The sequence below is a fragment of the Homo sapiens genome, chromosome 13 (assembly GCF_000001405.40).
Source record: "Homo sapiens chromosome 13, GRCh38.p14 Primary Assembly".
In the NCBI taxonomy this organism is placed as follows: Eukaryota; Metazoa; Chordata; class Mammalia; order Primates; family Hominidae; genus Homo; species Homo sapiens.
In genome coordinates this window covers 19,620,912-19,635,019 of record NC_000013.11, presented here as the reverse complement: position 1 = coordinate 19,635,019, position 14,108 = coordinate 19,620,912, and the positions used below count along the sequence as shown (strand labels likewise).

The following is a 14,108-nucleotide window of genomic DNA, read 5'->3' as shown; positions in this document are numbered from 1 at the left end:
AGCAACTGTGTATGCTTCAATTAAAATCTCTATATTGTCCGGACCTAACACAGCACCTGGCATACAGTAGTTGATAAAAAATGCTGAATGAATGCGCAAAAAATTGACACAAGGCAGCATATGACCAATGGGAAATAACAGACAATGAAAACACAACATACAGAATGACCACTGTGGGACCTTTGTTTACCTCACATCCATCTACTGAAACAGATTGTTTTCTTATTGTCCATGCTTCCCCTTGGATTAAAGGAGACCACATATAGCAGGAGAGACAAACAAAGAACGATAATGGCTTAAATGCCTTCATAGAGGTCAATACAAAAAGTAAAAAGAGCAGAGATGAGAAGCTCCTCACTCTGCAGAGGTTAGGGTCAAAAAAAGCTTTCCCAGAGAGCTACACCCCGAGGCCTTGGAAGCATTTGAGTAAGATTTCACCAGAAGAAGAGGGCAGAGAACTGTCCAGGCCAGGAGAACAGGAAACACCAAGGCATGGTGTGATGAATTCCAAGTATTTCTGTGTGGCTGCGAGCTATACAACGCATAGGGGAGAGAGGGATGATGCTGATCAGGTTATGAAGGCCTTTAAATGCCACCCTCTGGGTAAGATTGAGATTTTACTCCAAGGGCAAATGAAAATTCCGGAAGATTTTAAACCAGGGAGTTGGTTACGGTTTTGGAAAACACTGTAACGATGGCGTGGACAGTGGACTACGACGAGAAGCATTACTTCACTATCATATCACGCCAAAGCGCAGCAGCTCCCTTCACCAGCTGCCTGCAGCCTTGTGATCACCACACACCACATCCCAAACTGCTTCGTCTCTTCGGCCAAAACAATCCTCCAAAATTTGCTGAAGCTTCCCTCACACACTCAGCCCTAAGAGTGCAGTTGGAAATGTCACTTCGCTTTTCCCACGATTTCGCGTGCTTGCATTGAACTCTCACATTCCTCCCCCGCTCCTGTTTTGGGTCTGCCCGTGCTGTTTCCAGCTCGCGTCCTCCCCGCCAGGCCCGGAGCTCCCCGCCCAGCCCCGCGCCGGGGCCCCTCCACATACCCCCTCGGTCTTCATGTCCAGGATCTTCTCCACCTCGAACACATCCTCTCCGTCCTCCTCACTGTCGCCAAAGGCCTCCGCTCCTCTCGCGGCTGCGTCATTATCTTCGCCCACTACTCCAACTCCTTCTTCGACTTCGGCCAACTCCTCAGTGCTGTCGGCAGCTGACACAGGGACTGCGGTCACCCTTGCTCCCTCCGCAACCTGCTCCATCCTAGCAGCTCCGCAAACCGCCGAGGAAAACCCGCTGCGACAAACACCCCAGCAGCCCCTCGCGTTCCGCGCTCGGCCCTACTCCACATCAGCGGCGTAACGGAAGCCGACCAATGGCGGGCTTGGATCCTAGAGTGACAGGAACAAAAACCAATCATATTAAGGCGGGCGCGGCGTAACACCGCTGAGCCCGCGGGACGCAGGTGGGCGGGGCAGGGAGGGCACCCTAGGCGGAAGAGCGCTTGGGCGTTCTGTAGCTGTGGCGGAAAAGGTCAAGGGTGGGAGGGGAGCCGGCGAGGCCGCCGAGTGGCGCGACGCTGGGGAGGAGGAGGGTCGTTGGGGCGGAGGGCGTCCCAGGGCTGAGGGCGGCCCCGAGGAGCTGACAGTGCCTGATCCCCCAGCAGGGAAGCCTCAGGTGCGGACGTCGGTAGGGCCAGAGCTGGGGACTTTCTAGGAAAGGGAACCCTGCTGCTGCCGAAACCCCAGCCAAGCAGAACGGCTTCCCAGAAGTCATATATGATTTTGATAGGTTTAGCACGTGTGGATGATCCAATCAAACATAACTCACAGTGCTCTTATATTTTAATGAGTGTTGTTTAAAGACAAGGAAATTTAGCGGCCTAAAAAGCATCCGTTTTCCAAGTTCTAGCGCCCTTTGCCTTTTCATTGAAAATATCGGAGAAGGACGTGATTAAAAGTATTTGTTCAGGTTGTGAAGAGTTGACAAAAATTACACCACCCAAAGTTAGCGAAATACTGCTAGGAAAATACATTTAAGGATAATATATTTTTCTCACTTTGAATTTCGGATGTGCAACTGAAGTCTTTATGGCATCAAGCTTTCTATTTTTGTTTCTTTGAACAGTGGACTTAATTTGTAAGATGAGCCTCATCGTCAAATCTCTGAGCTTTAACTGAAGAACAATCTATGGTCCGGCAAATCCTTTTGGAAAGGATCACCAGATCTTTGAGTTGGCTCAATGATTTTTTTTTTTTCACTCAACTGTAATCAGATAGTAAATGATATACCGTTGAGCTTATTAAATACATCCTATGTACCATCACTATAGTAGGCATTAGTAACAGGAATACAAAGATCAGTAGAGTGTAGTATGCCTTCCTAGGACCCACAGGAAGGAGTCCCAGGAAGACACACACCAATACTAACAATTATGTATTTTAAAAACTGTAAAAATATTACCCATATAATTAGTTGATGGGAGAAAGCTCATTTTTACAGAATTCCAGATGATAAATATAGAAGAAAAGTTAGAAAAATCACAATAATGTGTGCAAAAGATCTAAGGAACAAAGCATTATATGAAACGGTGATGATGAGGAACTGGATATTCACAAGGCACTATAGATCCACAGATCATTTGTTGGTTGTAGGGGAAATCTGGCTTCACATTTGAAAGCCCACTGATCAATGTTAGCATTACTACAAGTGGAACAACCAGACTGTATGCTTTCTGTTAACAAAAATGTTGATCCTTAATATACTCAGGCCTTTAAGTGGAATTTCCAGTTATAGGAAAGAATAAAGGGGAAAGAGGAAAAGGAAACAATCAGACAAATCCACAATGTGGGATATCCTATTGGACAACTGACTGTTTCTTCCAGTTAAAGGAAAAAGAGGGAGGAGAAGATTGTTGTAGATTTGTAACGATTTGAGATGAAAAACATGGCAACATTTAAAATATTTTAAATCTTAACAGGTTTATTATACTATTCTCTGCTTTTATGTGTTTTTAAATAAAATTTAAGGACACATATTCATGATGAAAGTTTTCAATTAAAAAATACATAAGGCCGGGCACGGTGGCTCACACCAGTAATCCCAGAACTTTGGGAGGCTGAGGTGGGAGGATCGTCTGCGCTCAGGAGTACGTGACCAGGCTGGGCAACATGGCAAAACTCTGTCTCTTCCAAAAATACAAAAAATTGGCTGGGCGTGGTGGCTCATGCCAGTGGCCCCAGCTACTAGGGAGGCTGAGGTGGGAGGATCCCTTGAGCCTGGGAGGCAAAGGTTGCAGTGACCTGAGATTGTGCCTCTGCACTCCAACCTGGGTGACAGAGTGTGACCTCGTCTCAAAAAAAACACACACACATATATATATATGTCTGTCTGTCTGTCAGGCATGGTGACTCATACCTGTAATTCCAGTGAGTGCTTTGGGAGGCTGAGGTGGAGGATCACCTGAGATGTTGAGGCCAAGGGTTCAAGACCAGCCTGGGCAATATAGTGAGAAACCATCTCTACAAAGATAAAAAAAAAAAAAAAAAACTAGCTGGGCATGGTGGCACGCACCTGTAGTCCCAGCTATTTGGGAGGCTGAGGCAAAAGGACTGTGGCTTGCCTGAGCACCACTGCACTCCAGCCTGGGTGACACAGAGTGAGATCCTGTATTAGTCCGTTTTCATACTGCTATGAAGAACTGCCAGAGACTGGGTAATTTATAAAAGAAAGAGGTTTAACTGACTCACAGTTCAGCTTGGCTGGGGAGGCCTCAGGAAATGGCAAGACCAGCTTGGCTGGCGAAACCCTAACCCAGTGGCGCTAGAGGAATTAAAGACACACACACAGAAATATAGAGGTGTGAAGTGGGAAATCAGGGGTCTCACAGCCTTCAGAGCTGAGAGCCCCGAACAGAGATTTACCCACGTATTTATTAACAGCAAGCCAGACATTAGCATTGTTTCTATAGATATTAGATTAACTAAAAGTATCCCTTATGGGAAATGAAGGGATGGGCCGAAATAAAGGGATGGGTTTGGCTAGTTATCTGCAGCAGGAGCATGTCCTTAAGGCACAGATCGCTCATGCTATTGTTTGTGGTTTAAGAATGCCTTTAAGCGGTTTTCCGCTCTGGGTGGGCCAGGTGTTCCTTGCCCTCATTCCAGTAAACCCACAACCTTCCAGCGTGGGTGTCATGGCCATCATGAACATGTCACAATGCTGCAGAGATTTTGTTTATGGCCAGTTTTGGGGCCAGTTTATGGCCAGATTTTGGGGGGGGGGGTGCTGTTCCCAACATGTTCCCCTTCTTTGATTTGCAAAGCAATAAAAGCCAAGGCAGCTTTGTCATGGTGAGCTACTTCTCGCGGGAGTCAGGATCCGCATCTGCAGACTATACAAACAACACAAATTAAAAGCACAATCATCATTGAAATCACAGAGCTTCCAAGTGTTTTTATCCATTTTAATGGGTTACTAGCTGCTAATCTGTCTGCAGCTCCTTCAAGCACTCCAGTTCCTGGCATTAAGGTCAGGTGTGCCTGGGATGCTTTAAATATTTGTTCTTTTAATTTTGCAATATCTAAAGACAAATTTGTAGAGTGTCTTTCTAGATGCTTTTTTATTCTTTCCCAAATTTTTGATCTTATTAAGCCACAAATCCTTATCTTATGTTTAGCTCCTACAACGGGCCATATCATCTGAGGTTGAGGTGCCACTATACCGCCATGGTTTCAGATAAGAGGAACTCTTGCCGTACTTTTTATCATTTCTACCATCTGACCATTTTGTTCAGATCATCTAAACATAGTGTAGCAGTGGCACACAGACTGAGAGGTGCAATTCAAGCTAAACATCCCCTTAGGGGACCAATTAATAATGATTCCATAGGAATCGTTGTGCAGCACCTCTGCCTGTTCTGCAATGCAATCTTCCTAAACAAGTATGTTCATTTTGTCTAACTGGGTCCAATCCTGTGTACAAATAGGTTTTTGAGGGCGGTATGCCTCAATTATAGGAGCAGATTTATTATGGTAAATACTGAGATCAGAAAGCATGTGTAACTGTGTGATAGAGTGATTACATCCAGGCATTATTGCCAGCCAAGATTGATAAATATGCCCAATAAGAATAATTGTTCTCTGTGTCAGCTCTTGTTGAAGGAATACTTACGGCAATGGTGATCACCGCTATCATAGCTACCATTAAATTACCCATTGTGACTGGCTGTCCCGCTTTCCTCAGGTTTTCTTCCGCCATCTGTGACAGCTTCTTGATCTGTCCCCAGGTGGGTGGCTGTGTTAGACGGGTGTTGCTTGTGACAGTTGGGGTCCTCCTCAGCCATCAGTCTCAACATGGCTGCAACTGAGGGGTCCTCGGGATCCTCCCGGAATCTGGCTCATGATAAGGTTTCAGGTGTCTTGATGGTATCCAAATCAGCTGTTGATTTTGGCCTGGAGAAACACAAGCATAACCTCTACCCCAAGTTATTATTTTACCTATTTCCCAACTTTTTGTTATTGGATCTCTCCACCAAACCAGTTGTTCTGCTTCTGTCTTTGCAGCTGGTTTCTGTAGATGCTGTTCAGCTGCTGATAACATCTGGCCTTTGGGCAGGCTCAAAAAATTTAAAGTTAATAATGCTAGATTCAGTTGTGTATGGGCTGTCCCGTAATGCCTATTTCTCCCCCTTTTTTGTTTTTGTCATCAGTTGTTTATCTGTATGAAATAGTAACTGAGCATTTTTAATTAACTGTGTGGAATGAACCACATATGAAGAATCAGAAATCCCATTAATAGGCATATCAAAAGCAGTCAATACCTCAATTACAGCTACAAGCTCTTTTTGAGCTAAAGTATTGGGCGTCTGAAAAACTTTACTTTTCAAGCCAGAATAAGAAGCTTTACCATTACTAGACCCATCTGTAAAACAATGAAAATACTTAGCAGGCTGCAGTTTGTTTACTGCAGAAATTGTAAATGCAAACCATTGACAGTCTTGCTTAGCTAAAGGGATAGTAAAGAAACAGTCTTTTAAATCTATGACTATTAAAGGCCAATTTTTTGGAATTATAGCAGGAGAAGGCAATCCTGGCTGTAATGCTCCCATAGGTTATATAACTGAATTGATGGCTCTTAAGTCAGTTAACAGTCTCCATTTACCTCATTTTTTCTTAATTACGAAAACTGGAGAATTCCAAGGGGAAAATGTTGGAGTTACGTGCTCATTTTCTAATTGTTCAGTAACTAATTTCTCTAAAGCCTCCAGTTTCTCTTTACTTAGCGGCCACTGTCCTATCCAAATTGGCTTATCTGTTAACCATTTTAAAGGTATAGGTTCTGGAGGCTTAACAATGGCCACCATCAAAAATGATATCCTAATCTTTGGCAGGAACTTTGTCTTTCCGCTTGAAGCAGTTTTTTCAAACTTTGCAAATTTTTTTCTAGTCCCATACCAGGGACATACTCCATTTCATGCATTGTATGTTGACTTTGAGGGCTATATAATTGTTCTGGAATTAGAACTTGTGCTCCCCATTGTTGTAATAAATTTCTCCCTTATAAATTTATAGGTACAGAAGTTATAATTGGTTGAATAGTCTCAGGTTGTCCATCAGGCCCTTCACAATGCAAAATATAACTACTTTGATATACTTCAGGGGCTTTACCAACTCCAACTCTGTTAAATTGAGTGGGTGGAATTGGCCACGCGGACGGCCAGTGCTGTAGAGAAACGATTGAAATGTCCACTCCTGTATCTACCAAACCTTTAAATTTCTTTCCCTGAATAGTTACTTCACAGGTAGGATGTTTATCAGTAATTTGATTCACCCAATAAGCTGTTTTGCCTTGTTTATTTGTGCTTCCAAATCCTCCTGTTCGTTTAATTTCACTTTTTCCTATTCCCACATACGACACAATCAGGAGCTGTGCTATATGCTCTCCTGGCTCTGCTTTCCAGAGAACAGAAGTAGATGTAACAATTTGAATTTCCCCATTGTAATCTGAATCAGTGACTCCTGTATGTATTTGGACCCCTTTTAAATTTAAACTAGACATTCCTAAAAGTAATCCTATCGTCCCTGCTGGCAAGGGTCCACAGACTCCTGTTGGGACCTTTTGCGGGGTTTCCCCAGGCAGAAGGCTCACAGCTTTTGTGCAGCATAAATCTACTGTGGCACTACCGGCTGTGGCGGGGGACAGACATTGTATAGGGGTAAGGGAATGGCCTGAGCTAGAAATGCCCCGGTTTAGAACGGGCCCAGGATGGGCCCCTCATGGCGTTTCCTGAAATTGGGTTCCCATTTTTATCAAACTTAGAGTAACACTGATTAGCCCAATGTTTTCCTTTTTTACATTTTGGACATATTTCAGGCTCAGCAGTTTTCTTTTTTCCCCTATCTGGCGGCCTGACTCGCTGATTTTTTCTACATTCTTTTTTAGTATGACCATGCTTCCCACAATTAAAACAAGCTCCAGGAAATGGAGTATTTCCTTTATCCACTCTCAGTCCTGCCACTGCCTATGCCAAAAAAGTAGCTTTATGCAGATTACCTCTGATACTATCACAGGCCTTGATATAATCAACTAAATGTGCTTTCCCGAATTTAAAAGGAAAAGGCTCAACTGTAGCTATAATATTTCCCTGTTGATCTGGGGGGTGTATTCTAACAGGTAACTGCCAAGCCTCTATATCACCCTCTCATCTAGCTTGCTGAATTTCTGCCTGAATAGAACTAAGAGCAGTCACTTGAGGCGCTGCTTGAACAGTCACTGGGGCAACTACTTTTTGCCCAGTGTCCTCTGGAAAAGAAAGATCTGGAGGGTCTTTTTCTTCAAAATAATAAGGAGGGAGTGCAGAAGGGTAGGGATGAACCTCTCCCTCCTTTGCTGCTTTAGCTTTAGCTGGCAAATAAACCTGCTCTGTAACCTCTTCTGTTACTTTGTTATACTCTCCTTCCTCCTCCCCATCAGTGTGAAAAAGTTCCAAAAGGTGGAATGAACCACAGCCCACACTTGTCCCATTGTTACCCTGATGCTTCTGAGCTCCCCTTCTTACTCACCCCGGGGATTGCTTTAAGAGTACTCGGGTGTCCTCCAGCTAGTTCCACGTTCTCCAACCATCGCTCTGGCAACCCTTCAACCTGTATTTGTGGCCCCAAGATGGATGCCACTTGCCAAGACCAGCTCAGTCAGGGAGACCCTAGCCCAGCGGCGCTAGAGGAATTAAGGACACACACACAGAAATATAGAGGTGTGAAGTGGGAAATCAGGGGTCTCACAGCCTTCAGAGCTGAGACCCCCGAACAGAGATTTACCCACGTTATTTATTAAGAGTAAGCCAGTCATTAGCATTGTTTCTATAGATATTAGATTAACTAAAAGTATCCCTTATGGGAAACGAAGGGATGGGCCGAAATAATGGGATCGGTTGGGCTAGTTATCTGCAGCAGGAGCATGTCCTTAAGGCACAGATCGCTCATGGTATTGTTTGTGGTTTAAGAATGGCTTTAAGCGGTTTTCCACCCTGGGTGGGCCAGGTGTTCCTTGCCCTCATTCCAGTAAACCCACAACCTTCCAGCGTGGACGTTATGACCATCATGAACATGTCACAGTGCTGCAGAGATTTTGTTTATGGCCAGTTTTAGGGCCAGTTTATGGCCAGATGTCGGGGGGCCTGTTCCCAACAGGAAACTTACAATCATGGTGGAAGGCAAAGAGGAAGTCAGGCACCTTCTCAAGGCAGCAGGAAGAAGAGACGAGCGAAGCAGGGGAGAGCCCCTTATAAAACCATCAGATCTCGTGAGAATTCACTCACTATCATGAGAACAGCATGGGGGAAACTGCCCCCAGGATTCAATTACCTCCACCTGACTCTTCCCTTGACACGTGGGGATTATGAGGAATACAATTCAAGATGAGATTTTCGGTGAGGACACAAAGGCTAACCATATCAGATCCTGTCTCTAAAAAAAAAATGTTGGGCACCATGGCTCACACCAATTCCAACACTTCGAGAGGCCAGGGTGGGAGGAATGTTTAAAGCCAGGAGTTTCATGGTGCAATGAGCTATGATCCTGCTGCTACACTCCAGCCTAGGCAACAGAGCAAGACCCTGTCTCTAATATATATATATGCCATTTCAGTATATACTATTTTAGTGTGTATATATATATACATATATATATACACACTAAAATACTATATACATATATACACCATATATATTTTAGAAATAAAGTTCCCATTCATCAAAGATAACCAATTTGTAATATGACATCACAAATTTTTAGCCTATACACATAGAAGCACCAACACACACATAATCTTTTTTTTTTTTTTTTTGGTCATTCGGGCTGGAGTGCAGTGGTATGGTCATAGCTCAGTACAACCTTGAACTCCTGGGCTCAAGTGATCCTCCCACCTCAGTCTCCTGGGTAGCTGGGACTACAGGCACAGGCCACTACGCCTGGCTAATTTTTGTATTTTTGTAGAGATGAGGTTTTGCCATGTTGCCCAGGCTGGTCTGAAACTCCTGACCTCAAGTGACCCACCTGTCTCGGCCTCTCAAAGTGCTGAGATTACAGGCGTGAGCCACTGTGCCTGACCCCATGTGAACATAATCTTTAAAATGGGCTCTATTGCATATTGTTTTACAACTGCTACATATATAATATATGGTGCTACGTATAAACTGTGATATATATAGTGCATGTGTGTGTGTCTATATTTCTGTAAGATAAATTTCTAGAAGTGAAATTCTTATTAGTAGAATTTATGAGTGAAAGAAAGTAGTGATTTAAATTTCGATAGATGTTACTGTTTGAATGTTTTTTCTTTCCCAAACTCATTTCACATGAAGCAGGGCCTTTAAGAGGTGATTGAATTATGAGGGCGTGTCCCTCATAAATGGATTAATCCATTCTGGATTAATGGATTAATGAGTTAATGGCTTACCATGGGAGTGGGACTAGTGGCTTTGTAAGGGGGGAAGAGAAACCTCAGCTGGCACGTGTTGCCTCCTGCCAGGTGATGCCTTGCACTGCCTTGAGACTCTGGAGAGAGTCCCCACCAGCAAGAAGGCCCTCACTAGATGCCCCTCCCTTAACCTTGGATCCAGCCTCTAGAACTGTAAGAAATAAATTTTATTTGTTTATAGATTACCCATTTTCAGGTATTCTGTTATAAGCAACAGAAAACAGACAAAGACAATAGCTATTGCCAAATTTTGTTTCACTTGTATAATCTCCCTTGATGTCCACGGGCAATTAGTTTCAGAATGTCCTGCAGACACCAAACTTCAAAGATGCTCAAGTCCCTGATACAAAACGGTGTACTATTTGCATATAACCTATGAACATCCTCCCATATATTTTAATCATCTCTAGATTACTTATAATAGCTAATCCAATGTAAATGCTATGTAAATACTTGTTATACTGTATTGTTTACAGAATAATGACAAGAAAAAAAGTGTGTACATGGGTCAGTACAGATGCAACCATCATACGCATAATGATCTGCAGTTGGAGGACCAACTGTATTTGTTTCCAGTAATATGTAAGGAAGTATGTGTTTACCCATGCTCTCTGTGCTACTGGGCACTTGCAATCTTTTAAATAACTTAATCTGGCCAACCAAGAAAAGACAGTTGATCTGCTGTGAATATGTCAAGCACAGGGCAGGCAAGACCAAATCACCTAACAGATCCAGCCAGGAAAGACGTAACAAGCCTTCTTTAGATTTATTTTTCTTTAATTTCTTTAACTTTTTTGAAACAGTCTTGCTCTGATGCCCATGTTAGAGTAGAGTGGTGCGATCTTGGCTCACTGCAACCTCCGCCTCCAGAGCTCAAGCCTCCCAAGTAGCTGGGATTACAGGTGCCTGCCACTAGGACCAGCGAATTTTTGTATTTTTAGTAGAGATGGGGTTTCACCATGTTGGCCAGGCTGGTCTCCAACTCCTGACCTCAAATGATCCGCCTACCTCAGCCTCCAAAGTGCTGGGATTACAGGTGTGAGACAGCACACCCGGCCCCTCTTTAGATTTAGATGGTTTATTACTTACATAAACAGCAAAAGGAAGGGTAGTCAAATATGTCAGTTCCCCATGGTCCTTGTCCCACACCCCAAAATGAACATGGAAGCAAAAGGAGCTAGATCACTGTGAAATGAGTTGTGAGATAACCACGTTGCTGAGGAGCTGATGTTAGACTGCAGCTGCAGAGATTTTTAGCCTGAGCCTTAGACCTCATCAGAACTGGATGGCCACAAGAAACTCTCTGGCAGCATCCTTGGTGGGGAAAAGGAGGCAGGTGGGAGAAGCCCCATGGCAGCTCCTCTCAAGCCCCATCCTTTTGTGTTCCAGGAGTATCACAGGACTCAGGATAGCTGTGGTTTAAGCTTTTGCCCGTATGTCCTATGATGACAGTGCAAGGTGACCAGGGCCATCATGGAGCAGTTCCCCTACAGATTATGAGGTTATTCAGGCTTTTTACATCTTGTTCTAATTTTGATAATTTATTTATTTTCCCAGAAATCTGTTCATTTCACTGAGATTTTGAAATGTATGGGCATAAAGTTGTATATGGAATTATCTTATAAATCGGCTTGGGTTTTTTTGTTTGTTTGTTTTGAGACAGGGTCTTGCTGATTGCAGTGCCACGATCACGGCTTACTGTAGCATCAAACTCCTGGGCTCAAGTGATCCTCCTGCTTCAGCCTCCCAAGTAGCTGGGACTACAGGCATGCACCACCATGCCTGGCTAATTTATTTTATTTGAAGAGGCAGGATCACGCTATGTTGCCCAGGCTGGTCTCTAACTCCTGGCCTCAAGTGATGCTTCTGCCTCAGCCTCCCAAAGTATTGAGATTACAGACATGAGCCACCATGTCTGGCCTCTTATAATTCTTTAATTTCATTCATATATGTATTTTCCCCCTTCTTCATATCTGGTGTTCTGTATTTGGGTTTTCTCTCTTTTTTTTTTTTTTTTTTTTTTTTTGAGACGGAGTCTCGCTCTGTCCTAGGCTGGAGTGCAGTGGCACAATCTTGGCTCACTGCAACCTCTGCCTCCTGGATTCAAGCAATTCTCCTGCCTCAGCCTCCTGAGTCGCTGAGACTTCACGTGTATGCTGCCACGCCCGGCTAATTTTTTGTATTTTAGTATAGATGGGGTTTCACCATGTTGCCTAGGCTGGCCTCGAACTCCTGAGCTCAGGCAATCTACCCGCCTCAGCCTCCCAAAGTGCTAGGATTACAGGTGTGAGCCACCGTGCCCCGCCTGGGTTCTCTTAATTGTTCCTTGCTCAGGTTTACCAAGGGTTTGTTTATTTTTTGGAATAAGCCCTTGGTTTTACCTAGCAATCTATTGCTATTTGACTTTTTCCTTTAATTCCTTATTTTGTTTTATCTTCATTATTCCTTTTTGTCAATTTCTTTAGGTTTGTTCTGATGTTCTTTTTCTAGACCCCAACAGCTCTCAGATAAATTCCTGGTTAATTTAGTTTTACAGTTGCAGAGACAGAGTGGTGCTATTGGCTGCCAGCTGTCCACTCCCCCGTCATCTATTCTAAGTCTGCTAGAATAGTCAGGTAGAGTTACAGGAAGCCTGTTTCCCCAAGGTGTAAACAAGAGCCTCAACAACCCGGTAGTAAGACTCCTCCCAGACTAGTCTGGCACTCAGGGTAGGCTTTTACCAATCCAGCCTCCTAATAGGGAAACTGAAATGCAAGACTCCACGGACAGAAGCAACCAACAAGCAAGACCCTAAATTCCTTTTTAATCCACTTTTTCAGCAGGATCAACTTTTCTATGTGAGAGGCTCTCAGTCCCATCGATTTCAGATTGTGACTTTCTATTCCTTTTTCTTTTTTTTTTTTTTGAGACCGAGTCTCAATCTGTCACCCAGGCTGGAGTGCAATAGCATTATCATGGCTCACTAAAGCCTCAACCTCCCAAGCTCAGGTGATCCTCCCACCTCAGCCTCCTGAGTAGCTGGGACTACCGGCATGTGCCACTATCCCAGCTGATTTTTTGTATTTTTCTGTAGGGATGGGGTCTCACCATCTTGCCCAGGCTGGTCTCAAACGCCTGGGCTCAAGCAGTGTGCCTGCCTTGGACTCCCAAAGTGCTGAGATTACAGGTGTGAGCCACCATGCCTGGCCCATATTAAGACTTTCAGAGCATCTGAAGTTTGTTCCTCTCTGGACCAGCTCCAAGGCTAAAGCTGACAGAAATCCCAGAATATGATTCTCAGGCTGCCCCGTCACCACTGACAGTGGGCACAGGAATAGCCTAACCATTAGGAAAATGAAAGAAGGAAAGATAAGCACCAGGCTAATGTGGAAGCCTTCAAAGTTGGAGATGTCCAACAGCAGCAGGAATAACTTGGTGTTGGTCACTGCTCTTAATTTATAATGTATAAATCCTGGGGATTTCTTTTGCTTCCTTCTCCTGTTGGATCTCTTATTGTGGGGGTTCCGTTTCTTCCTCTTTCATGGCTGACTCCTTCATTTTCTGGAGCCCATCCTCTAGGACTAGATTTCTCAACCCTGACACACATTATTGACATTTTGGACCAAATAACTATTTGTTTTGTGAGTCTGGAGGGGTGAGCAGGGGATTGTAAACAATAAATAGCTGTGTAACCTTTGTAAAAGAGGCTAGAATTTATTTCTAAGACAGTAGAGAGACACTGAAAGGTTTTAAGTGGCAGAATGACAGGGCCACATATGCATTTTAGAATTGCTCTACCTACACTATGGAGATTAAATTGAAGGAGTTAAAGTCAGGAAAGCCAATTAAGAGATTGTTATAAACCAGGCATGGTGGCTCACGCCTGTAATCCCAGCGTGATTTTAAAGGCCGAAGTGGGAAGATTGCTTGAGGTCAGGAGTTTGAGACCAGCCTAGGCAACATAACATAGTGAGACATCATGTCAGCAAAAGTTAAAAAAATTAACCAGGCACCATGCTGCATGCCTATAGTCCCAGCTACTAGGTAGGCTGAGGTGGGAGGATTGTTAGAGCCCAGGAGGTCATGGTTGCAGTGAACTGTGATCACACACCACTGCACTCCAGGCTGGGAGACAGAGTAAG

At 44.0% G+C, this 14,108-nt stretch overlaps 1 protein-coding gene across 5 annotated transcripts in view, besides 4 other annotated features; it reads right to left on the bottom strand.

Moving 5' to 3' along the window:
- The window catches only part of MPHOSPH8 (M-phase phosphoprotein 8), a 39,783-nt gene extending 38,422 nt beyond the window's left edge, over nt 1-1,361 (bottom strand). For all 5 annotated transcript variants that reach the window (XR_007063684.1, NM_017520.4, XM_047430395.1 and 2 more), the window contains exon 1: nt 1,059-1,361. Coding sequence is in view for 4 of the 5 variants with exons in the window: in NM_017520.4 (NP_059990.2) it covers nt 1,059-1,271 (213 nt within the window). In the remaining variant the exon portion in view is untranslated. The remainder of the gene's footprint in view (nt 1-1,058) is intronic.
- Nucleotides 453-502: an enhancer, noted in NCBI's record as "active region_7408". NCBI's record gives its function as "activates an Ori minimal core promoter by ATAC-STARR-seq in GM12878 lymphoblastoid cells {active_cell/tissue: GM12878}" and the evidence as "EXISTENCE:reporter gene assay evidence [ECO:0000049][PMID:35858748]".
- Nucleotides 753-882: an enhancer, noted in NCBI's record as "active region_7407". NCBI's record gives its function as "activates an Ori minimal core promoter by ATAC-STARR-seq in GM12878 lymphoblastoid cells {active_cell/tissue: GM12878}" and the evidence as "EXISTENCE:reporter gene assay evidence [ECO:0000049][PMID:35858748]".
- Nucleotides 1,063-1,312: an enhancer, noted in NCBI's record as "active region_7406". NCBI's record gives its function as "activates an Ori minimal core promoter by ATAC-STARR-seq in GM12878 lymphoblastoid cells {active_cell/tissue: GM12878}" and the evidence as "EXISTENCE:reporter gene assay evidence [ECO:0000049][PMID:35858748]".
- Nucleotides 1,403-1,792: a silencer, noted in NCBI's record as "silent region_5139". NCBI's record gives its function as "represses an Ori minimal core promoter by ATAC-STARR-seq in GM12878 lymphoblastoid cells {active_cell/tissue: GM12878}" and the evidence as "EXISTENCE:reporter gene assay evidence [ECO:0000049][PMID:35858748]".